Consider the following 27517-nt stretch of genomic DNA (forward strand, 5'->3'; position numbering starts at 1 on the left):
TAGAGAGAGGTATTATTAGACTGAAATATTAACTTTAATAACATAAGAAGCATATTATGAAACAGAAATCTGTGCCATGGAGTTAGTGGCATTTCTTTAAACATTTATTCAGCCAATTGGAAAGAAAGTTCTAAGAACCTCTTGACTAAGTATCATGAATATATAACAGCAATACCTAGTGATAGGAACAGTTATTAATGGGAATACAACACTATGAAGAGGTGAAAAGCAAAATAAATATGACTTTAACAGAATAGAATTTTGGGTGGGGTGTGTGTCAAAAATTATTAAACTTCCTCTCTCCAAATATTACTTTGATTCCATTCTTTCTCTCTCCCTCTCTCTCTCTCTCTCTCTCTCACACACACACACACACATACACACACATGCACACACACACCTCTCTGGGACTCAAAATCTCAGTATATTAGAAATTTCAAACTTGTCCCAATGTGTCTGATACTCTTTTCTCTTTTTTCTCTTTTGTTTTACTCTCCATGATTCAAACTACATGTTTCTATTTACCTCTCTTTTAGTGCAAAAGTACTCCTTTCTAATGGCTGCACATACTATGCTATATATACAATATTACTATATATTGAATTACTAATTGTTGTATTTGTATGTGTATTTTTAAGACACAGTCTTGTTCTGTTGCCCAGTATGGAGTGCAGTGGCACAATCATAGACGGGATTACAAGCATGAGCCACTATGCCAGGCCAATTTATAGGCTTTTATTTGATTGTCATTTAAATATATATTCCAGTTCTCTGCTGAAGTTCTCCATTTTGTTATGTCCTTTTTCAACATATTTATGACAGGTGCTTTAAATGTGTGACTAGTAAGTTCAATATTTTAGTCTTTTGTCAGTGTCATTGTCTATTGGTTCTGATTCATATTTTGCAGAGTATTTTTTGACAAAATGTCACACATTTTATCATCTTCTTTCAAGAAGGGTTGAGCTCTATCCTCAGTCCTCAATAGGAATAGGAATAGAACATCTTAATCTAATTAGAGACAGAGCTGACTGGTTGCTGGTTTGGATTTTTTATTAAGCTGTGTCTACCTATAATTAGCATAGACTTTTAGAGTGTAACACCCCAGGAGTTCTGTCTGTGAGTCTATGGAGTTTACTGGATTCTCTGCCTTAGAAGGTTATGAATTCCAGTTTTTGTCTTCTCGTCACTATGATACTGTGGTACACTACCATCTGTGTCAGAAGTATGCTGCTTAATTTTACAGAATTACAAAGTCTGTTAAAGCCTCATAAAGGAATATTGAACTGCCCAAGACTATTCTACCATGGTAGTACCTTTCATTTTTTATTTTTATTTTTATTTTTGCTTCTCTACCTCTATAAAATTGCCAAAAATCTACAGGATTGACAGCTACATAGTCTTGGCTACTACTATTCTCCATCTCTGCCCTGCCCCAAGAATAAATAATGCCCAGAAGGAAAAGCTGAATGCGGCATTTCAACTCATACTCTGAAATTCACTTCTTTTGGAATCTTGACCCATCAGCTCCTTGTTGCCTCACAGCTTTCTGGCAACTTTAAAAAGATGTTTTCTAGTTGTTCTTGACGGAAGCATAAGCCTGACGCAAGGTAGTCATCATGACTAGAAACAAAAGTCCTAGAAAATTCATCTGGATGTCATATGTTTATAGCATTGTAGAAGAGACTGAATAATAAAAGTAAGAAAAGCCCATTGTAATGGAGCTTGTAAGCCATATTCAAGCATATGATTTTTATAATGATAATCTATTGCAGAAATTTATGCAATAGGAGATATAATTGATTTTACATTTAAAAAGGACAAATTTATCACCAAGGAAGATTCACTAGATCAGTATGAGAGTAGGAACTATCTATAAAAATGATAGGCAAGAAGTAATATATTAATTTAATGACTAATAGTTTTCTTTTATATGCTAAACATCTAAAGGTGACACACATTTAAATACTTTATAGCACTTTAGGAGGGGGAGGCAGGCTGATCACCTGAGGTAAGGAGTTCAAGACCAGCCTGGCCATAGTGAAACCCTATCTCTACTAAAAATACAAAAAAATTAGCTGGGTGTGGTGGCAGGCGCCTGTAATCCCAGCTACTTGGGAGGCTGAGGCAGAAGAATTGCTTGAACTCATGAAGGCAGAGGTTTCAGTGAGCCGAAATCACACCATTGCACTCTAGCCTGGGCAACAAGAGTGAAACTCCGTCTCAAACAAAACAAAACAAACAAACAAAAAAACTACAAAACAACAACAAAAAAACTTTACAGTTTTCAAATTAATCAATTACTCTTATATGTAAGATAAAAACTGATTTCTGTTTCTGATACAATTTGTATTATTTACTCACAAAAGTGCTTTATTAAATATAGCATGATTTACTTTTATTAAATATAACATAATTTACTTTATTATTAAACTTTTATCCACACTATATTAATATAAATATTCAAACAAAAAATAAATTAAATAACCATACGTATTTGCATGTGTCTTTGTTAGTAGCAAGGAATTCCAGTTTCACAGTGAGAAAAACTGGATTTGATCCAAAATGCTGTAACTTCCAAATGATGTAAAATTAGGAAAGTCATTATTATCACTGAGTAAATTTGTTCAACTATAAAATGGGTAAAATATTCCCCTGTTGTAATTGTGTAATATGTGGGAAACATTTTGTGTGAGATAACAGTCAATGATAATCATTCAGAAGTGAATACAGGCAGAAGATAAATTTAATTTAGACATATAGATGTGAGATTTATGGTTAAAAATGACATCATTTGGAGCTTCTAAATTTAAAAAAAGATTTTTAAAATTAACATTAAACATATATATATATATATATATATATATATATATATATATATATATATATCAAAACACCAAAATACAGGAAACAAATCCAAGACCTTAAAACAGATAATAGAAATGGTTAAATTCTATACAGGTTGCCCAGACTGCAGTGCAGTGTTGTCATCTTGGCTCACTGCAACCTCCACCTACCAGGTTCAAGAGATTCTCATGCCTCAGCCTCCTGAGTAGCTGAGATTACAGGTGCTCACCACCACACCTGGGTAATTTTTGTATTTTTTATTAGAGACAGGGTTTTGCCATGTTGTCTAGGCTGGCCTTAAGTTCCTGGCCTCAAGTGATCTGTCTGCCTCAACCTCCCAAAGTGCTGGGATTATAGGTGTCAGCCACTGCACTGGATCCTGTCAAGGTTTTTAAGTTAACATCATTATCATCAAGAAAATTTCAAATGTGAAATCTCACCAGAGACTTAGCATCAATTTTTCAAAAAGTAAAATATAATTATTATAACTTTAAAATATGCAGAGCTACTTGAAAAGAACATTTTATTGAAAAGAAAAACTATATCTTAAGATATACTTGATTTCGTATTGAAATTAATTTAGTATAAAATCTAAATTAAAATATGCTGGTATCATTTATATCAGGAGTCCCCAACCCCAGGCCCTAGAGTAGTACCTGTGTGTGGCTTGTTGGAAATCGGGTGGCACAGCAGGAGGTGAGTAGTGGGCAGTGAGCCTGAGCTCCACCTCCTGTCAGATCAGCCAGGACATTAGATCACCATAGGAGTGCAAACCCTATTGTGAACTGTGCATGTGAGGGATCTAGGTTGCACACTCTGTGTGAGAATCTAATACCTGATAATCTGAGATGAAACAGTTTTCTCCTGAAACCATCCCCACCCTTCCATACATGGAAAAATTGTCTTCTATGAAACCAGTCCCTGGTGCCAAAAGATTGAGTACCACTGATTTATATAATTATTCTTGAAAAATTTAGGTTGAGGTTTCTAATACTGCCCAATTATGTAATCTTTACTGAGGCAAAGTTATCATTGAAAGCAACTGTGATACTGTTTTGATAAGGTGCAGAACTAGTCAACTGAATTTGGGCATGAACTTTGCTAAGAAACCATAACTACACATTTAAAACATTTGTGTATAATATCTTTCCTTAAGTGGGTCACTTGTACTGACGACAAGACTTCTTGGAATTACAAACCTTTTTACAGCAACAATGGCTTCTCTGTGTCATAATGATTAGCAATTCAAACATCATTGTTATTTTGAAAAACACATTTTTTAAACTTAATGTACGTCTTTTCCCAAAACAGATAAATAAGATCGATTGAAAAACTACACTGAATCATTAGACCTTTCATTTTTTATACTTCTTCAAGTTTTTTAATTGATATGTAATAGTTTTACATATAAATGGGGTACATGTAATATTTTGATATAAGCGTAAAATGTATAATGATCAAGCCTAGGTAACTGGAATTTCATTACCTCAAATATTTATCATTTTTTAATGTGAGAACATTCCAATATTCTATTCTAGCTATTTTGAAATATACAATACACTTTTAACTATAGAAATCCTACTGTGCTATCAAACACTAGATCTTATACCTTCTATCTAACTGTATTTTTGCAGCCATTAACCAATCTCTCTTCACCCTTCATCCTCACTTTCCTTCTCAGCCTCTGGTAACCATTATCCCATTAACTACCTCCATGAGACAAATATTTTAACTCTCACATATGAGTAAGAATATGCAATATTTACATTTTTCTGCTTGGCCGATTTCACTTATCATTATAACCTCCAGTTTTATCCATGTTGCTGCGAATGACGGAATTTCTTTGTACTTTATGGCTGAATAATTTTCCGTTGTGCATATACACCACATTTTCCTTATCCACTGATGGACACTCAGGTTAATTTCATATCTTGGCTATTGTGAATACTGTGGCAATAAACATAGGAGTGCAGGCATCTCTTTGATATTCCTGATTTTCTTTCTTTACAATATATACTCACAAGTGGGATTGCTAGATCATACAGTAGAAAATATTTGAGCACCACTCATCCAACAATGATTAATGACCAGAAATATAAGGAACTCGAACTATTTAATAGCATAAAGCCAAATTATTGCATTTAAAAATGGGCAAAAGATCTGAATAGACATTTCTCAAAAGAAAAATACAAATAGCCACAGGTACATGAAAAAAAAAAAAGTTCAACATTTCTAATGATCAGAGAGATGCAAATGGAAACCACAATGAGATATCTCCTTACCCCAGTTCAAATGGCTACTTTCAAAAGACACAAAGTAAATGCTAGCAAGGATGTGGAGAAAGGAGAACTCTTCTTATATACTGTTGGTGAGAATGTATATTAGTATAGCTGCTATGGAAAACACTATGGAGATTCCCAAAAAAACTAAAAATAGAATTACCATATAATCCAGCAACCCCACACCTGGATAGATATCATTTTTTATATATTAACATTGATCTGTTAAAGTAACCTACATCTCAGTACTCATATGAAATGATAGTCATTATTAATCTTATATTTTATAGCTCTTTACAAATCAATGAAATACTTTTACGTAACTACAACTTATTGAATCTCTGTCAGATATAACCTTTAATAACATAGATTATTCTCATTTTTGCAATGAGAAAAGTGATGATTTTGGTACTTAGTAAGGTCACAAATATAGTATAAACATATAATAAGACTAAGATTTGGTTTCAATCTTTCTAATTCCAAGGTCTTCCTTCTTAAGCACCATAAAATACCATACCCCGTATTTTTTTGATGCTAACAACACTAGGAGATAGTTTAGGATTTTTCTACTTATTTCATAGGCATAAAACTGAGTCATAGACACATATGTAAATTAGATCATATTGCAGAAAAAATGCTTACCCAAGTCAATTGTTTTTTGTTTCCTGTAAATAATTATAGCTTTTAAAAATTGATTTTAATTAGCATTTACTGACTCTTAGTTATAGTAGGTCTTAATTATACACAGTGTAGTTTTTCTTGTTTGGATGTTTGTGGTTAGTCATAAACAAATGTAAAAATTACATTCAATACCAGAGTTGTGAAGGAGCACTTTTTCAAATTGTATCCCTGCAACTGAATTGCTCAAAGCATATCTTTAAGTAAAAATGGTCAACCTGAGAGAGACATTTTGCTTTGCTTACAAACTAAAAACTCAAACTCAAAGAGTAATGGACTCTAAAAATAAATGTATTTTCTATTATCAATGGCTAGAGGCACTTCAAAATGTTTGAAATGAGGAAAACATAAATAAACAAGTTAGTGTGGGGAAATTCAATTGAAAAATCAAGAGGAGCTTCCTGGATTTACATAAGAGATAAGAAAGTTAATTTTTTGCTATTTTAAGACAATCATAGTTAACTTTCTGCAATAATTTAATCATAGTTTTGTCAAAACTCTAAAGTATTGACCAGATGATTGTTCAATGTCATACTCAAGAGACTGAGGTGTCTGTAAATTCCTCTTAAAATAGATATATGAATAATTTTAGACCTTGGCATTTTCAGTAAGACTAAATCTGAATCCAGGGTTATGAGGAAGAGTCACCAGCCAAACATAAAGAAAAAATAGTTAATTTGTTTTGCAGAAATAAATGAATTTATGAGAATTTTTCTAAAATGCTTTGTCATTAGGATAAACCATGTTAAATTATTTTTAAAGTACTCAAAATCCATACTCAACATTCTACATTGAAATTAAGAAAGATAATACAACATGGTATATTTTACAAATATGATTTAATTTGGATTTTGTATATGGTAGCACCTGATTGACTAGTATTTCAATTCCAACAATTATTGGAGTAATACAAACCTGGATAATTTATTCATTGATTTAGATCAGCAGTCACCATTTAAAGGAAATCTGTTTGTTATCTTTTAGAAGCTGACTCATAAGAGTTTTATTGGCCTACATAGGATCGGGGTGGTGAGACAGAAATCACCTTATGCTTGGACTTGTGTCTTGAACCATGTTTCATGGATGAATACAGATGCTTTGAAGTGTTAACAGATGGTGCACTGTGTCTCACAACTAAGGAAAGGCTCAAGATAGGCCTCCTTCTGCTAAAGGATAAACAGATTGGAGACTTGCAGGCAAATTTTTATAGAAGTAATAACAATTTTCTAGTTCGAATTCCATATTAAGGTCTTGAGAATCACAAAAGACCAAGAAGTGAACAAAACATAGAATAAATACTATAACAAAAATGGGAAATAGAATAAAGAGGAAAATCACCTTATTTCTGATCCTTGGAGAATAAGAAAGACAAAATGAGTATCTCAAAATCTAGAATTAAGATAATAGAGATTATAGAAGTCAAGTTTTGTGATCAAAGGGGACAGAAGAGATATGGGAAGGAGGAAGTCAGCCAAGCTACAGTGGTCGCAAGCTGGCTGATGCAAGTCATTTGGGCGAAGGTAAGCCAATCTCACACAGCCTGGATGAAATCAGATGAGGTCCAAGTCCAGCAATGTACAAGATCAGTTAGGAAAAGGCATTTGGAATATATTTTAAGAGGAATGGGATATTACTGAAAAGTTAAATCATGGAATTGATGTGATATGATTTATGCTTGTAAAAGATCACTTTGGTTGCTTGGTGAAGATTGAGTTATAGGAATAAATCAGAGAAACCAGTTAGGAAGCTTACAGAAATGTTGGTGAAGATGAAAATTATTTGGTCTAGAATAGTGGCTATATGAAAGATAAGAATTGAAGTATTGAACAACTGTTTTTAAAGCTAGAGTCCAAAGAAAAAAAAACAAGAATGAGTCATAGGATTTTATCTTAAGCAAATGGATGGGTGGCATTTTTAAGTATTAAGATGGAAAATATTGCAGTATTTGTCAGAGTTAGGAGGAGTAGGGGGAAAAAGCAACAGTTTTGTTTTAAACATGGGTATCCAGCTGGAGAAGATGTCTAGTAGTAGGCAGTTGAATACATGGAGTTTTCAGTTTAGAAGTGTGTGTGTTTGTGTGTGTGTGTGTGTGTGTGTATCTTTGAAAAAAAATACTGTAAATATATGTATATACATCTGTATACAAATGTAACTACTTAAGAGTCCAAAGAACTCCAAAATCCTAGATTTTATATTTTACATCCAGTCACCCTGATCAACTCTCCACAACACACTACCTGGCATAATTATAAGAGAATATGTTCAGTTTAGCAGTGGGTCTGCTGTACCCTCCATGTTGTACTTTGTAAATACAAAGTGAAGGAAAGAACAATTTGAAACACTTTTAGTGACTTCTCTAGTCATGATATAAATTGAATTTAATGGGGGATTTTACATGCTTAGTTTAGTAATATTTTGAAATATAAAATTTAGCTAATCCCAAAGAAAAATTTGACTAATTGGACTGCAATGAAATATTATAAATATTATAAATATTTCCTCCTTCATGTAATATGTTACAATTTCATATCCTCTTGGTGAATTCAATTTCATAACTTTAGATGCTTTAGATAATTTCTAATACTAATGTCAAAACGGTTTAACTCATGTGATTTTTTCAATTGTTTTATATTATAAGCATAACTTTTCTGTGACTCTTTTTTTGGATCTTCTAATCAATTTCCATGACATTATTATTTAATTATAGTATTTATTTACAACATCTTCAAGGTTATTTATCATATTTAGATGATGTTAAATATCATGGAAAAATTTCTTCATATCAGCTTTCAGTTTTATATTTTGTGAAAAGTACACAAAAATAATACACCCATACAATGTGTTCAACACAAATGTTTTGGTAAATATTGCATAAGATTTCAATATTATGCATGACAAACATATAAATAAAATTTTATTATAGAATAACATGAAAACCACTGCACCTTGCATTGGTGTTGGTAATATATGGTAAAATAAATCATAGACGGTATTGGTGGTTCTTAGAGAAAATAATTGCATACACTCTGACCAATCCAAAAATTAAACATTTTATACATTTAATAATGTAACATGTAGACCAGAAATGATTGTTTTTCTATCTAAGCAAAGCACTCTCCTTTCTCAGTTCAGTCAGAAGAATATACATATAAATATAAATTTTAGGATGTGCTTTATTTTATTTTATTTTTAAATTTTCATTTATTCATTTATTTATTTATTTGAGATGGAGTCTCTCTCTGTCACCCAGGCTGGAGTGCAGTAGCATGATCTTGGCTCACTCCAACCTCTCTGTACTGGGTTCAAGTGATTCTCATTCCTCAGCCCCCCGAGTACCTGGGATTAGAGTGTGCCCCACCACACCCAGCTAATTTTCATATTTTTTAGTAAAGACAGGGTTTTGCCATGTTGGCCAGGCTAGTTTTGATCTCCTGGCCTAAAGTGATCCACCTGCCTTGGCTTCCCAAAGTGCTGGGATTACAGGCATGAGCCACCAAGTCCAGCAGTATGTGTTTTATATCACTGAGATAAATGTGTGCTTTAATAAATAGCTAGCCATTTTTTTTTTTGCAAAAATAAAATATCTATTAGGTCTACACTTTTTTAAATTCCAAATGAAATTAAATACTTAACTATTAAAATGAATATATAAAATGCTGTAAGTTCTTTCTTTTGAAATATATATGATGATGATGATGTTGTTCATAATAAACAGATGGATAGATGATAGACAAAAGAAATGAAAGAAAAACAAATTTCAATATACCCATAAAAATACTCTTTAGAGTTAAAATTACATATGTTTAAAAATACTCTACACACACACATTCACACACATACAATTATATGTATATGCTTGGTTGTTGTGGAATATAAATACAGTAAAAAGGTGTACAATGTGCATGCAATCCAGTGATACAAGTAGGCAAGAGTGAAGTTGTAAAATGATACGTAAGATAAAGTTTTGACATTAATCACATTACATTTGTGTATTCATAAAATTATCTGGAAGGATACAAGTGTAGGCTTAAGTATAGGAATATGAAAGTAACTTTTTACTTATCTTTACATGTAATTCTATATGATTCATTTCAATTTTTCAGCAACCATATACTACTTCACTTGAAAATGAAAATGATACAAGAACAGTTCATTAGTAGCCCACAGCCTTCATCCTGACTTGAATTTCGAGGGTATACAATAAGCTTTATGATATTCTCTTTCTTTCTAGTGTTTTAAAAAATGCTGATGTTTGAAGCAAATTCGAATTGAAATAGAGATTTTATATTTCCAGCTTTATTAATATATGATTAACAAACATTGAATATATATATAAGGTATATAATGGGATGTTTTGATATACATATATATTGTGAAATAATTATTAAAATCAACCTAAGTAACATATCATTCTCTTTATATGGTTATATTTTTTGTGTTAAAACATTTGAGATCTACTTTCTTCACCAATTTCAAGATACAATACAGTATTATTAACTATAGTCACCATGCTGTGTATTACATCTCCAGAAATTATTTATTCTGCCTAACGAAAACTTTGTACCCTAAGACCAACATCTCCTCACCCATGCCCCTGAACATTATCAACCGCCATTTTTCTATGCTTCTATAAGATGAATTTTTGTATATTTTGTATGTAAGTGAGATTATGCAGTATTTGTCTTAAAGTGCCTGTCTTATTTCAATCAAAATCTTCCAAGTTTATTTGTGTTGTCAGAAATGGCAGGATTTCCTTATTTTTAAAGGCTGAATGGTATTCTTCTTTGTGTGTGTGTGTGTGTATGTATGTGTGTTCTCTCTCTCTCTCTCTGAGACACACACATTCACACACACACACAAAGAGGAATTCCATTCATATATATAGACTCTCTCTTTCCCTCTCTCTGTATGTATACATATATATATATATATATATATCTGTTTATTCTCTCTATATATATGTATAGAGAGAAGAGATGGATGAATGAAAGAATAAATGAAAATTATCTATCTATCATCTATCTATCTCTCTATCTATCTATCTATCTCATAGATTGATTCCATACCTTGGAATCAGACGTATAGGTTGATTCTATACCTTGTTTATTGTAAACAATGCTGCAATGAATATGAGAATGCTGATATCTCTTCAACATAGTATTTCCATTTTCTTTGGATATACACCCACAAGTGGGATTGTTGGATCATATAGTAGTTCTATATTCAGTTTTTTGATGAACTTCTTTAGTTAGAAATATATTCTCCCATTATATAGGTTGTCTTTTTAGCCTGTTGATTGTTTCCTTTGCTGTGCAGAGGCATTTGATTTTGATGCAGTCACATTGGTGTGTTTTTGCTTTTGTTGCCTGTGTTTTTGGGTCGTATCCAGAAAATCACTGCCCAGACTAATTTCAGATTTTCTCCTATGCTTTCTTCTACTGGTTTTATAGTTTTAAGTATTTAATCCATTTTGGGTTAATTTTGGTATATGATGTGAGATTAGGGTCTGATTTCATTATTCTGCATGTGGATATTGAGTTTCTCCAACAACATTTATTGAGGATGCTGTCCTTTCCTCCCAAGTGTTTCATGTCATCTTAACCAAAAATTGATTGATGTAATACATAGATTCATTTCTAGGCTTTCCATTCTGTTCCATTTGTCTATGTGTATAGTATTATGTCCATATCATATTGTATTTATTACTATAGCTTTGTAGTATATTTTGAAATCGAATAGTATAATGTCTACAGTTTTTCTTTCTTGCTGAAGATATTTTTGAGTATTTGTGGTTATTTGTAACAATTCCATGTAAATTTTATAATTTTGTTTTTACTTCTGTAATAGTTAACATTGGAATTTTGATATGGATTAAATAAGGTATGTACATTGCCTTGTGTAGTATGGACTTTTTAATTTTTTTCTTACTGATTTAAGGGATACAAGTATAGTATTGTTATATGGCTATATTGTGTATTGGTCTGGGTTTTTTAGTGTATCCATCACCTGATGAGTATACATTACCTATTACCCAATAGGTAATTTCTCATTTCTCACCCTTCTCCCACTCTCCCACATTTTTGAGTCTCCAATGTGTATTATTCCACCCTGTATGTCTAAATGTGCATATTGTTTAGCTGCCATTGGTAACTAAGAGTATGTGGAATTTTAATTTCTATTTAATAGTTATTTCACTTAAGATAATTGCCTCCAGTTCCACCCATATTGCAGCAAAAGAAATAATTTCATTCTTTATATGGTGCATAGTATTCCATGGTATAACACATTTTATTTACCCAATTACCCATTGAAGGATATTTAGGTTGATTCCATGACTTTTCTATTGTGAATAGTGCTGTGATAAACATATGAGTGTAGGTGTATTTTTTATATACTGATTTCTTTGTTTAGATATCCAGTAATTGTCTAAATGATTGATGAAGCAAATGATAGTTTTATTTTTAGTTCTCTGAGAAATCGCCATAATGCTTTCCATAGTGATCGTACTAATGAAAATTTTCAACAACACTGTATAAGCATTAATTTTCTTCACATCCTTGCCAATATCTGTTATTTTTTGACTTTTTAAAAATAGCACTTCTGACTTGTGTAAATGGTAGCACGTTGTGGTTTTAATTTGCATTTCTCTTATGATTAGTGATGTTGAGCATTTTTTCAAATGTTTGTTGGCCATTTGTATGTCTTCTTGTGAGATATATCTATCATGTGTTTTGCCCACGAATTAATAGGATTATTTGGGTTTTTTTGTTGTTGTTGTTGAATTGTTTGGGGTCCTTGTAGATAGTGGATATTATTAGATTCTTGTTGAAGGCATAGTTTGTAAATATTTTCTCCCATTCTGTGCATTGTTTGTTTATTCTGTTGATTATTTCTTTTGCTGTACGGAAGGCTTTTGGTTTAATTAAGTTCCATTTGTTTATTTTTATTTTGTTGCATTTGTTTTAAAGTCTTAGTCATAAATTCTTTTCCTGAGCCAATGTTCAGAAACATTGTTTTCCTAGGTTTCCGTCTAGTACTTTTATAATTTCAGGTCCTACAATTGTCTTTAATCCATTTTGAGTTAACTTTTGTATATGATGAGAAATATGGTCTAGTTTGGCTCTTCTGCATGTGGCTAACCAGTTTTCCTAGCACCATTTATTGAATAAAGTATCCTTCCCCAGTATGTATATCTATATGTATGTGTTGTTGTTGTTGTTGTTGACACTGTCAAAGATCAAGTGGTTGTAGATATGTAAATGTATTCCTGAGTTTTCTATTTTGTTCCATTGTTCTATATGCCTATTTTAATACCACTATCATGATGTTTTGGTTAATATACGCTTGTAGTATAATTTAAAGTCAAGTAATGTGATACCTCCAGCTTTATTTTATGTAGTTATTATTATTTTTGTTTTGTTAGAAATGCTGTGGCTATTAAGGCTCTTCTTCCATTACATACAAATATGAGGATTGTGCTTCCTAATTATATGAAAAAAATGATATTGGTAATTCGATAAGGATCACATTGAATCTATAGATTATTTTGGAGAGTATGATCATTTTAGCAATATTTTTTCAATGGGAGTTTCTCATGAGAGCATGAGGTGTTTTTCCATTTGCTTGTGTAATCTATGTTTTCTTTAATCACTGTTTTATCATTTTCCTTGCAGATTGTTTATCTCCTTGGTTAAATATATTTCTAAGTATTTCATTTTTTGTAGCTATTGTAAATGAAATTAAGTTATTGATTTGTCCCACAGCTTGATCATTATTGGTGTATATATATGCTACTAATTTTTGTATGTTGACATTGTATCTTAACACTTTACTGAATTCATTTATCAAATCTAGGAGTCTTAGCAGGAATATTTAGGACTTTTTGGGCAGAAAATCATATTACCAACAAACGAAAGTCATTTGACTTGCTTTTTAAATAATCTAGATGACATTTATTTCTTTCTCTTTCTCTTTCCTGATTGCTCTGGCTAGGACTTCCAGTACCATGATGAATATGAATGGTGAAAGTGGGCATTCTTGTCTTGTTCCAGTTCTTAGGGGAATTGCTTTCAACTTTGCCCTGTTCAGTTTAATGTTGGTTGTGGATTTGTCATATATCATTTTTATTATTTTTAGATATATTCCTGCAGAGCGTAGTTTGTTGAGGGTTTTTATCATGAAAATGGCTCTATTTGATTGCTTTTCCTGCACATATAGAAATGATCATATCATTTTGGTTTTTAATTTGTTTTTAAATGTTTCTGTTTATGTGGTGAATGACATTTATTTATTAGTGTATGCTGAACCATTCTTTCTTCTCTAGAATAAAACACAGTTGATTATGTATTATCCTTTTGATGTGCTTTTCAATTTGGTTTCCTAGTATTTTGTTGAAGGTTTTTGCATCTATATTCATTAGGAATATTGGCGTGTAGTTTTCTTTTATGTTGTGGTCTTTCCTGCCTTAGCTATCAGTGTGATACTGGCTTCATAGAATGAGTTAAGAAGGATTACATTCACCTTGATTTCTTGGAATAGTTTCAGTAGGATTGCTACCAGTTTTTCTTTGCATATCTGGTAGATTTTCACTGTGAATTTGCCTGGTCCTCAGCACTTTTTTATTGGGAGAGTTTTTATTACCTATTCAATGTCACTACTTGTTATTGGTCTATTCAGGACTTCTGTTTCTTCCCAGTTCATTCTTAGGGGTTTCTATGTTTCCAAAAATTTACCAGTTTTCTCTACGTTTTCTAGTGTGTGAGCGTAAGGATGCTCATAGTAGTCTTTGATGATCTTTTGTATTTCAGTCGTATCATTTGTAATGTCTCCTTTTTCATTTCTGATTGTGCTTATTTGGATCTTCTCTCTTTTTTTCTTGGTTAATCTGGCTAGCCGTCAATCAATTTTGTTTATATTTTCAAGGAACTTTTCTTTCGTTGATCATTTGTATTATTTTAGGGGCTCAATCTCCTTTATTTCTTCTCTGCTCTTTGCTATTTTTTTTCTTCTGCTAGTTTTGGGTCTTCGTTGTTGCAGTTCTTTAAGGTTCAATATTAGGCCAATGTGTGATCTTTCTATTCCTTTGATGTGGACATTGAACGCTCTAAACTTCCCCTTACCACTTTTTTTTCTGCATCTCAGAGGTTTCGATATGTTGCATTTTGACATGTTTTCATTCCTTTTGAAATTAAAAAAAAAAAACTTAATTTCACCCTTGACAAAAATTATTCAGGAGTAGATTTAACCTTCATGTATTTGTGTATAATTTTGAGAGTTTTACTTGGCATTGATTTTTAATTTTATTTCACTCTGCTCTGAGAAGATACTTCATATAATTTGGATTTTTTAAAGTTTATTGAGACTTGTTTTGTGGTTTAACATATGCTCTACTTTGAAAAATGTTTATGCACTTATGGGAAAAATGTATATTCTGTGGTTGGGGGATTGCATTTTGTGTTAATGTCTGTTAGTTCTATTTGTTCTAGAGTCCATTTTAATTACACATTTTCTTTGTTTATTTTCTGCTTCAATGATCTGTCTAGTACTGTCAGTGGGATGTTGAATTCTCCCACTATTACTGTATTGCTGTGTATCTCTTTTCTTAGGTAAGGTAGTATTTTTTTTTAAATCTTTGTGGTCCAGTGTTGGGTGCAAGTATATATAGGATTATTATATCATCTTGTTGAATTGATTTATTTATCATTATATAATGACCTTTTTTGCCTATTTTTACTCTTGTTGATTTAAAGTTTGTTTTATCAAATATCAGTATAGCCTACTCCTGATTGCTTAGGTTTCTGTTTGCACAAAATATCTTTTTTCACCCCTTTACATTAAGTCTAAATGTTTTTGCCAGTTAAGTGGGTTTTTGTAAGTAGCACATGTTGGATCCAGGTCTTTTAATCTATTCTTTCAATCTATATCTTTTAAGTGAAGCAATTAACTCATTTATATTCAAAGTTAATATTGATATGTGAAGTTTTGTTCCCATCATAATATCGACTGTGACTTAGTTGCTTTGTATCCTCAAGTGGATGTTTTTTAGGACCTGTAAGTTTTATACTTTCTTCTGTTTTAATTGTTGCAAATATTAACCTTTCATAGCCATGTTTAGAAATCATTGAAGCATTTCTTGTAGGGCCAGTCTAGTGGTAACGAATTCCCTTAGAATGTTATTATCTAAGAAATATTGTATTTCTCCTTTATTTATGAAGCTTAGCTTATCAGGATACAAAAATATTGGCGGACAATTTTTTCTTTAAGAAACTGAAAATAGGGCCCCAATCTCTTCTGGCTTGTCAGGTTTCTACTAAGAAATCCAGTGTTAGTCAGATGTGATTTCCTTTTTAGTTGATTAGATGCTTTTCTTTTGCTTTTAGAATTTTTTTTCACATTAATTTCTGATGACTAATATGCACTGGGGGAAGTTTGTCTTGCAATGTGTCTCCCAGGAGCTCTCTGAGTGTCTTGTGTCTAAATGCTAAGTCTCTAGCAAGACCAAGGAAGATTTCCACAATTATTCTCTCTAATAGATTTTCCAACGTTTTACTTTTTCTGCTTCTTTCTCAGTAATACCTTGGACATAAATTTAGATACTCTTACATAATTTAATTTTTAAAATTCTTTATTTTTATCTGCTTTAGGTTATTTTGAAAGATCAATCTTCAAGCTCTGATATTCTTTCTTCTTCTGGGTCTAGTCAACTGTTAAAGCCTTGAAATGTATTTTGTAATTTCTTCAATAAGATTTTCTCTTTCAGTGTTTTGTTTGTTTGTTTTAATCTATCTTGTTAGCAAAGTTTTCCTTCACATCCTGGTTTTTTTTTTGTTTTTTTTTTTTTTTGGATGTTGGTGTTGCTTTTCAATTTTCCTTTAGATTTCACTGGGCTTCCTTACAAACCATAATTTGAAAGATACATCTGGCATTTCAGAATTTTCATTTTGTTTAGGATTCATTGCTAGAGAGCAAGTATGACACCCTATTTTTTCCATACTGCCAGACTTATTGCACTGATTCCTTTGCATTAGGAGCAAACATCACCTTTTATTTTTTATTTTTCTCTCATTTGGATGATACTATTTCCACCCCCTTTGAAGTTGTGATTGTTATATATATTTAGTGGAGTCATTTCACTTTGTTTCTGGGTGCTCTCACAGGGCCAAGGCTCTGTATGAATTCCTTGGTTATAGATAGCTTTAATGTGGTTATTATCTCAAATGTTTGTTGTAGTAGCAGTGTACCAGGGATGTGAGTAGGCTCTTGGCCTCCTGTAGAGATGGGGAGGTGGAAGTCTCAAGAAGCTTATCTTAGTCCCAAGGGCTGTGCACTTGAGTCAACAAATTTTGTAGTGGAGTGTGCACTGGGTAAGGTCAAGGATCTCTCCCATGGCCTGGGTTGCCTGGCTCCCCAGTGGGAATATACATCACGGAGTCAAACTCTCTCCCTTTTACTCTCTGAAGATGCATTTTCTGCCATACCGTTGGTGTGGGTTGCTGCCCGCTCCCTTTTACAAAGTATACAAAAACTCTTCCACATTTTCTGTTGGGCTCCCATGTTCCTTCTTGGATAAGAGTTCACAGTATGAACCTCCACACACTATTTTGCTCTTTCCAAGTGGGTGAGGTGCATAATGCTTCCAATCTGCCATCTTGGAAAAAAAAAGTATAGACATTTTAACAATAGTAATTCTTCCAATCTATGATCATGAGATATTTTACTTATTCATGGTGTTTTCAAATTCTGATTTTGCTTTAATGTTTCAAATGTACAGATTGTTCAACTTCTTAATTAAATTTATTCTTCAGGTTATTTTGTTTTGTTTGTTATTGAAAATTGGATCATTTGCTTAATTTCCTTTTTGGATAGTTCATTGTTAGTGTATATAAATACAATTGATTTTGTTTGTAGATTTTGTGTCCTGAAATGTTACTGAGTTATTTTATTAGTTCAAGTTTTATGGTGAGTCTTTAAGATATTCTTCATATAAAATCATGTCATCATAATCTCAATAGATGCAGAAAAGGCCTTCAATAAAATTCAACACCGCTTCATGCTAAAAACTCTCAGTAAACTAGGTATTGATGGAACATATCTCAAAATAATACGAGCTATTTATGACAAATCCATAGCCAATATCACAATGAATGGACAAAAGTTGGAAGCATTTTCTTTGAGAACTGGCACAAGACAAGGATGCCCTCTCTCACCACTCCTATTCAACATAGTATTGAAAGTTCTGGCCAAGGCAAATAGGTAAGAGAAAAAAATAAAAGGTATTCAAATAGAGAGAAAGTCACATTATCTCTGTTTGCAGGTGTCATGATTTTATATTTGGAAAACCCTGTTGTCTCATCTCCAAATCTCCTTAAGCTGATAAGCAACTTCAGCAAAGTCTCAGGATACAAAATCAATGTGCAAAAATCACAAGCATTTCTATACACCAAAAATAGACAAACAGAGAGCCAAATCATGAGCAAATTCCCATTTACAATTGCTACAAAGAGAATAAAATACCTAAGAATACAACTTACAAGGGATGTGAAGGACCTCTTCAAGGAGAACTTATTTCTGTTCTTTATAGTCAATGAAATATTGTATTATGCATAACTAGGGCAGGTGTAAAATATATTTTCTTCATTGTTATTTGTCGTCATAAAAGGGGATAAAAATCAAAAGGAAATGTAGAAAATCATTATAATTCACTCACCTTAGTTTCTTGGTTATTAATATGTTGTAAACGCGGAACTGTCATCACCTCCAGCTCAATCCTGCTTCACCTATCCATGAGGTTCACACTTGTAGTTTGTTAGAAATAAGTAGCGTGAAAGACATTCAGTCTCAATATGACTGAAACCTTGTCACCTCAATCATGAGGAAACTCTTTTCATCTATATTATTTAGATGGATTTTTCTTTCACCTGTAATTACCTTTTTTTATTTTGAATAAATGCTGCTTTACCAGACATTTAATTCTTTCAGGCACACTACAAATAAATACAGCATGAATCTAGGTCACATGCCAATATACAACAAAATAATTTTAAATTACATTTCTAATGGATTCGAGTTTCATTTAACACATAGAAAATGTTAGAAGACGTTATAAGACATACCAGAAATGTGAATATTGGCATTCTTACATCTACCTTAGGTAGTTATTTACTTTTATCCACAGTGCATAAAGAATTAGAGTTTTTACCATGCTTTGTAATGAAAAATATACTTTTGAGATTTCAATGGTTTTTTTTCAATATATGCCACAAACTCCTCTTTAAAAGCCTAAGATACAGAAGAATAGAAAAGGTTCTTATCAGCAAAAGTAACACTTGTGCTAAGTTATTCATAGAGAATCAAATACAGTAGAACATGTTATAAATCACCTTACAATCCACCAATCGAAGTCTGCAGTAAGTCAAATCAGAAACTCAAAAAAGTAGTCTGATATAGGTGTTACTATAATAATAATGACATTAAACAGAGATGATTTTCTTTACCAAGGCTTATTTGTGTTTCTCAGTATCTAAGAAAGTTTTAAAGAAGGCAATTTACAAGTAAAGAACCTCTCAGCTATGTGTTCTTACTATTATAGACAAAATATAAAATTCTAAGCCCTCCAACCAACTGAATGGACCCATCCTGTAGGCCAACGGGATTGCAAAGAAACCTGAAAAACTAGTTCAGACAGTGATGGGAAGAAAGGGCCCTGGGACATGCCTCTTTTAGCTTTGGAATTCAGGCACAAGTGACCAGCATTAACATTAAACAGACCTCTGAACACTGATAAAACACTGTAGCAATAAGATACTAAATTACAACCTGACTCTAGTATACCATCACATGACAGATAGCAGGCCTTGGAATAAATGAAGATATTTTACACCAAAATATGTTTCTTTAACACATTTTGAAATGGCCCTGCAAAGGACCATTTGAGTTTTCCTGCCTTTCTGTCTCTTGGGAAAATTTATATTCTGCAGAGGATCCCCTTGCTTCTCCAGGTCTTTTTCTGAACCTGAAGATATTAACTGAGAGTCCAGCACCTTTTAAATGTCTGAAGAGGAAACATGTGCATCTATTGCCTCCTAGGGCAGCCACTTTTGAGACTTCATCTACATAAGCACCTTAGTCTTTACAACCACATTTCTTAACCCAAATTCCTTTCTATTGATTCCATGTTTAGATAACTAAACTTTTTCAACCAATTGCCAATCAGAAAATGTTTGAATCCCGTTCTGACCTGTAAATCCCCATATTGAGTTGTCCTGCCTTTCCGGACAGAACCAATGTATAGCTCATACATATTGATTGATGTCTTATGTCTCCCTAAAATTTATAAAATCAAGCTGTTACCCAACATCTTGGCTCTCCTGAGGCTATGCCACGGGTCGTGGTCTTCACATTTGGCTCAGAATAAATCTTTTCAAATATTTTACAGAGTTAGGATTTTTTTTTTTTTTTTGTCCTGTGAAAGGGAAATATCTTGGGCCCCCCAAATCACTAAGCTAAAGGGAAAAGGCAACCTGGCAACTCCTTAGGACAAACCTGCTTCCTATTCTATTCAAAGTCACCCCTCTACTCACCAAAATAAATACATGTCTGATCGCCTCATTTGGGAAGGCTAATCAGAAACTCCAAAGAATGCAGCCATCTGTCTCTAACCAACTTGTGACCTAAAAGCTCCTTCCCCGTTTTGAGTTGTCCCACCTTTTGGGACTGAACCAATGTTCATATTACATATATTGATTTATGTCTTATGTCTCCATAAAATGTATAAATCCAAGCTGTGCTCTGACCACCTTGGGCACATGTCATCAGGATCTCTTGAGGATGTGTCATGGGTGTGCATCCTCAACCTTGGCAAAATAAACTTTCTAAATTAACTATGACCTGTCTCAGATTTTCAGGGTTCACATTTGGTAACCACAAAGAGATTCTGAGTGGAGATGCTCCTGATCTTTGGCAAATCTCCTATTGGTGCTTGCTACCAGCATGAGCTAACTTTATAGCTCAACCAAATAGGACAATTTGCTGAGGTCTGAGAACACCTCCTGCAGAGAATCCCTGATTTTCCAAAATTGGGTTGAGATCTAAAGTTTATTTTGCTGTACAATTCCTCTTCTTTTTGGAGTTTTACTTGCTTCTAAAACAAGAAAGGCAAGTTTTTCCTGCTTTCATGATGATGGAAGGCAGGTAACTCCTTTACGGAGTTTGAGCTCACTTCCAACAGGAAGATGAGGTTTTTTTGTTTTTGTTTTGTTTTGTTTTGTTTTCCTGCTTCTAGGAATGTGGAGAGAAGTCTTCAGCCTGAGACCCAACCTTAGGTAAATAAGTGAATTGGGGTTTGTCTTGGCTAAAGTTAAGGTTAACAACTAGCTGGTCTTAATTTCTCCTTGCCATTAGAGCGCTCAGGGGTCATATTGTTAGTTTGTTGTTGTTGTTGTTTGCACTGGTCTTTCCCCCATTGGATTTTACCAACTCTAGCTGACTTGGTCAAATCAAAGTGAATATTCCAAATTATGAGTAAAAAGGACTTTCTAATTTGGCTAAGATTCCTCACAGCCATAAAAATAAAATAAAATAAAATAAAATAAAATAAAATAAAATAAAATAAAATAAAATAAAAATGGAGAAAACAAACAAAAACTATGTGTTTGGTTTCTGTGTTTGCTTCCTGTCTTAAAAAAAATTATTTCATTTCATTTTCTTCCACCTTTCTTCCCCCTTTGCCATCTGCAGTGCCAAAAAATCTAGAGGAGCTTCTAATGACTTGAACCCCTTTAAGTAATTCAGAACAAAGGCTCTACTCACCCGCTTTTGGAGTGTTCTGTTTTCTTTGTGGAATTTCCAGAGTCATGGGCAGTTTCGTTGTATGACCTGACTTTTTGGCTTTGGGGTACCAGGGATGACTTTGCTCTGTGAGATGATTTGACCTTGGCATGTATAATGGCAGATGAGAGCTACAAAGTTACAAGTAGTGGAGCAGTTTACAGAAAGTAGTCTTGTCTGCTTTTTCTTTTCTTTTTTTTTTTTTTTTTCTCCTAGGAAGTTGTTGTTTAAGAATCCTAATTCTAGTTCACAGATGCATTCTAAAGGGTATTCTCTATTGCTTTTCCTCCCAAAATTAATCTTAATTTGGTTTTTCTGTGCACATTTGCATGAGGAAGAGAACTGTTGTTTTCATAGGTTAATGAGATACTGAGTTTTCTCAGCTTTTGAGGGAATTTGCTCCTTCCAGCTGAAAGCTGTCTCTTGGTTTTGGGAGCCTTATGGAAGTGTCTGGGAAGCTGACCCCCAGTGATGTGCAGTAGCTCTGTAGGGAAATCCCCAACAAAAAATAATTTTAAAAATGGCTCATCCAGAAAATAGATATAATGGCTGATTACATGATGTTTGAACCCTCTCAGAGGTCACAGACCTCTGGAGAGAGAAACTGAGACATGTAAGAGGGTGGAAACGACTCCGGGGTGATGCATTATGGAGTCTTTCCCACAGGCAGCACATAAAGATCCACCCCACAAAAACCCTAGGCCACAGCTCAGTTCCTCCTTTTAAGGAAAAAAATGAGGAGGTGGGGAGGCAAGTAATCTAAGAATGAGGAGAAAACAAGAAGAATGCCCCCCTTTTGAGCACTCTGTAGGTTTTATGGCACCACTACTTGCCAGAATACAATGGAACTAATACAGTCTTTGTGCACATTTACATTAAGGAAAAGGAGCCCTAAGGTTGACCTGCAAACTATAGCATTCCTAGGTCCACTTTTCCTCTATTTTATTTTCTGCCTGCTTTAAATCTGCCGTTCCTTTTCTACTGAGATAAAAACCACTGTTTGGGCCTAACAGGTTTTTTGTTGGTTTATTTTTTTGTTTGTTTTTTGCAAGGCAGCAAATTTGTATTTATCTTATGGATAAAGTACTGAAGTAGAAGCTATAGAACATTGTGTGCATGTGTGTATGTTACACGCTTATGTATATATTTGAAGACCTTTATAATACACTTCTATAATTTTATGTTCAATTGGCAATAAAATCAGTTTTAATTTCCCTCTAGCTTGCCATACTTTCTCTTTGTACCTTATGATGTATATTTTGCTGATTTTCACTTGAGTTGTTTCCTTTAATATGCAGACTTAGGGCTAGTTAGCTGACAACTGCCATGGTAATAAAACAGGTTATCAAGAGTTTGCAAGTCTAAAATAGGAAAAAAAAAGTCTTAGGAATCTATAAGATGTAATTCTATTGGCATGCCGAATATGTCTATGTATTTATGTGTTGTATACAAAAGGTTTCACTACTGAACATATATAAAGAACTCTAATTAATTGTCTTAAGAAAACAAAACTGCTGGAATCAAATACTTTAACAAGAAAAAATAAAAGACTAGTCAAATGCTTTTTCAACTTTATTTAACTTAAGTAAAATCTATAATAAATTAGCTAGCTTTAAAATTATTGGTAATGTAATATTAGAAATGTCTTAAGAATTGTCAGGAAGCATTTTTGTTTCCATTTATTAATCAAGCAATTTTATACTTATTCCTGCCAAATTCTATTAGGTGTCAAAATTTGAAATAAGGGTTACAAAACTATAAACCCAGCCCAAACAAAATGATTTTTTCTTATGTAATTTTAAATAAATAAGACATTGACATTGATTTAATGAAAATAGCCACATGTTGAATTTAGTAAGATTATCATAACTTCTATACCTGTGGCTTTAGGCAGTCTAGTCCACAGGCAGTAAGAAGGTTTGTTTGGGGAAAGAACTGTCATTGTCTTTGTTTCAAAACTAAACTATAAGCTAAGTTCCTCCCAAAGTTAGTTCAGCCTACACCCAGGAGTGAACAAGGACAGCTTGGAGGTTAAAAGCAAGATGCAGTCAGTTAGGTCAAATCTTTTTCACTGTCTCCATTATCATATTGCAGTGGTGGTTCTACAACTTTAAATGATGACTATTTCAGTTTTCATAAATAACTTAGGTAAAGAATTAAACTAAAATAATTAGGTAAATGTAATGGAATAAACACTCATAGACAAACATAATTTAGAATATAAATGTATATTAAATTAAATAGTAGATATATCATTATTTGGTTATTTCTCAATAAAAATATATTGTATGAAAACATTCTTGCTAAAAATAATTGCCTTTTTTTAAAAAAGTAAACAAGTTTAACCTAATTCAAAGCTTATTTAAAGCTGATGTATAAAACAAGGTAAAAGAACCAGGAAATAAGAGAGACATAAAGAAAATTATAAAAATAAAGAGTTTTTTGTGGTGAAAAAGTTTAAAGAGAGATAATTTTATATGAAAAATAATCTAGCACGGTAAATTTAGTCCTAAATTAAAATAACTGATTGTTTAAGGAAGAAGGATGTGGAGGACAAATCAGAAAGCCCAAGCATGTCATGAATAGTCTATGTAAGGCATAATAAGGGGATTTATTTAAAAAAAAAAAACGAACCTTCTTATATGATCAAATTGTTTATAATTAAAGGGAAATTATAAACACATATACTAAATTGTTGGTTAATACAAGGAAATTTTCTTAAGTGGTTGATTTAATAAATTATAAGAGATCTTAATTTTTTAACACAAATTTCAACTTTTACTGCATCTCACTCTTTTTCAACTTTCTCTCCCCTTTTAAAAGCCATGTTTTCTTAAAGATCTAAAGGAAATGTTTTCTTCTAACATAATATTCTGTGCACTGCAGAAGGCCTTTTCTTTTGCCTTTTGGTAACTGTCCTAACAGATTTTATGTTTTATCAAAATAATTCCTAAACTATTACTATTAAGTTTTGTTTTCTTAGTAAAAAATGAGATTTAATTTTTTAAATTAAGGTTATTACATCCGTGTGTCTTGAAGTATGTGCCTTTAAAGTTTTGTGGCATTGAGTTACAAGGCTCTGATTCCTGGGTCTAAAAAGGACACCAAGTCCTGCTAAATCTTAAACACTGACAGCAATTAAGGCCTCATCTTCAGGCCCTGTAAAAGATGCCAATTAAAATAAACTGCATTCCTGAGACACAGGGCCAGAAATTAAAGCCAGTCAACTCCTCAAGGCCCAAGGACTATTGTGGAAGAGGTGGGTGCATGAGACTGTAAGGGCCAATTTTGAAAGAAAAAATAAGTTCAGTTTCTCTATAAATTAAGTATTAATGTTGAAGCCACCCTGAAGAAAGACCAGCATATGGGCCCATGTATCAGATTAACAAGGTTTTTTGGAAGCATTAATTGACTCCTTAACAAGGGATATAAAGATTATAAAAGGCTTATGGAAGTTATATCTTGTGGTACAATTACAATTTGATAGATAGTTTATAAAATTCTGAAACACAAATTTAATTGGCTTTATGCTGTTTTTATTAAGGCTTATTGTTTGTAAAATTATGTCTCCTCTCTCAAAGAATGAAGGATTTTGCCTTTTTTTTTGAAATCCTTGAGTTATCACTTTGGTTAAATGAATGACTAATTTTATAATGACCTGTGATTCTGTTTTGTGTTATCAAGTGTTTTAAACCTTTGCTATTTGACAAATGTTTAAAACCAAATTAAAAATTATGTATTTTTCTGACCTAATTAAATTGTTAAGATATTAGATTCACTAAAGTCCAAAAATGACATAATTTTACATGAAGGATTGTCAAATATGAAATGATGTTCGGTTTTCTTTGGGCTGTATTTTTATAAATATATTATTAGTATGTGTTCCAAAATTATGGGAAGCTCCTATAATTCTGATATGACTTAGTGGACTTAGTGTACATTATCAATAATAATCATAATTCTTATGTTAAAATTATTGTGTGCCACAGAGGTAACAAATTTCCTTGTCAATTGTGCCTTTGACTATGGCTTCTCTAAAACTTATTGTCAACCACAGACAACTGTTGTGTTGTCTTGGTCCTCTTTAGAAGGTGGTTTTATAATCAGCTATAAAACTCTAATGGATGCTCTTGAACGTAGGTTTCTGAAAAATGTGGAGATTGTCACATCAAAATAGAGGAAAAACTTTCAGGACTCAGGGAGAGCTAAAATGTTCATGAATATCAAGCAGAACAGGAATTAATTGCATGGACTGAAATAATCTTTTTAAGTTTTTGCTTGAAACATTGCTTATCTTTTGTTTTTCCGTCTTTAAACTTTTCTTTTTAGATACTGACAGCTTTTAACAATTTTTAGTATACTCTTATGAACAAAATTTGGAGTGTATTTTTTCTCTCTACCTGATTTCTCCAGAATTTGGAAACTATTTGTGAGTATTGTTAACTTACGGCAATACAGTTATTTGCATAAGTGCAATAAGAATCTGTTTTCATTTGTAACAAAACACAATTGGAGAAACTGGTTATTTTACCAAGGCTTTGACTGGAATGGTGTGCTTTCCTTTAAGGAATCAAACTTAATTTATGGAGTCAATAAAAGCTCTTGGGAAAACTGGCCTCATCATTTACACAGTCCCTGTACAGGGTATTTGACCTGTGGTAAATAAAAAATGTCACTTTCTGACAGGTCCAGGAGACTCAGGTTTGTCTTGGAACCTCAAGAGGAGAAAAAATTTACCTAACTCATATATAGTTAGTGACAGAAATCCATGGCTGAGTTTGGCATTAAAAATAGTCTTATCTGAGATTTCTTCTATGGCACAAAGTTTCATCAAAGCCAATTTTATAAAGCTGATGTGAAAAATAATTATTCTTGCTGTACTTTATACAAAAAATCTGGCCAAGTTTAATAAAGAAAATTGGTCCTACCATGATTTGTCTTTAGTAAAAATGGGAAACTGGAGAGATTAAAATTATGTTTCCAAAACTATAGTACACCTGTTGTTAGATTCTAGTCTTGCTTAATGTTTTGAATTTTTTATATAGTTTGGACTGAATTCTATTTTGTTCTTGCTTTAAGTTTCCAAAATAATATTTTCTTTTTTTCTGCTTTATTTTCTTTTTCTACCACTTTCTCCTAAGTTGAAATCACTGAAAAATAAGCTGTGCTTTCATAAAGCCTATGAACTGAATCTAGACAACTTAAACTTCAGAAGAAAAAAACAGCAATGTATTCACATACATAAGACACTTTCATACCTGCCTACTAATGTATGGACTTCAGAGTAATGTGGCCTACGTTAATTTTCCAGGATTTTTCTTTTTTTGTTGTTATTGTTCTTCTCCCTTCCTCCCCCTATTTTCTCTTCAGAGGACATGAGACTTCACAAGCTGCTAAAAATGAGCTTTCCTAATAACTCGAGATCTACCTGTCTAGGAGTAAACCATCCTAGCCATGAGAGATTAGATGAAACCTGGGACCAAAGACTCATTTTTTTTTTTTCTAAAATGCTTTCTCCAAAAGATTTTTTTTAAAAACGGGGGTAAATGTGAAAGAAAATATCTTGTTGCCCCCAAAATCACCAAGCTAAAGGGAAAAGTCAAGTTAGGAACTGCTTAGGACAAACCTGCCTCCTATTCTATTCAAAGTCATCGTTCTACTCATTGAGATAAATACATGTCTTATTTTCTCTTTGGAAAGGCTAATCAGAAACTCAAAGGAATGCATCTGTCTATCTCTCACCTACCTATGACCTGGAATCCCCCTCCCCGCTTCGAGTCGTCCCACCTTTCCAGACCGAACCAGTGTTCATTTTACATATATTGATTGATGCCTCGTGTCTCCTTAAAATGTATAAAGCCACACTGTGCTCTAACCACCTAGGGAACATG

The 27517-nt window shown here is 32.7% G+C and overlaps 1 long non-coding RNA gene across 1 annotated transcript in view; it reads right to left on the reverse strand.

The window, feature by feature from the left end:
* The window catches only part of LOC105375976 (uncharacterized), a 60514-nt gene that overhangs the window by 18741 nt on the left and 14256 nt on the right, over positions 1-27517 (reverse strand). The window lies entirely within an intron of this gene.

Source organism: Homo sapiens, chromosome 9, assembly GCF_000001405.40.
Source record: "Homo sapiens chromosome 9, GRCh38.p14 Primary Assembly".
Taxonomy (NCBI): domain Eukaryota; kingdom Metazoa; phylum Chordata; class Mammalia; order Primates; family Hominidae; genus Homo; species Homo sapiens.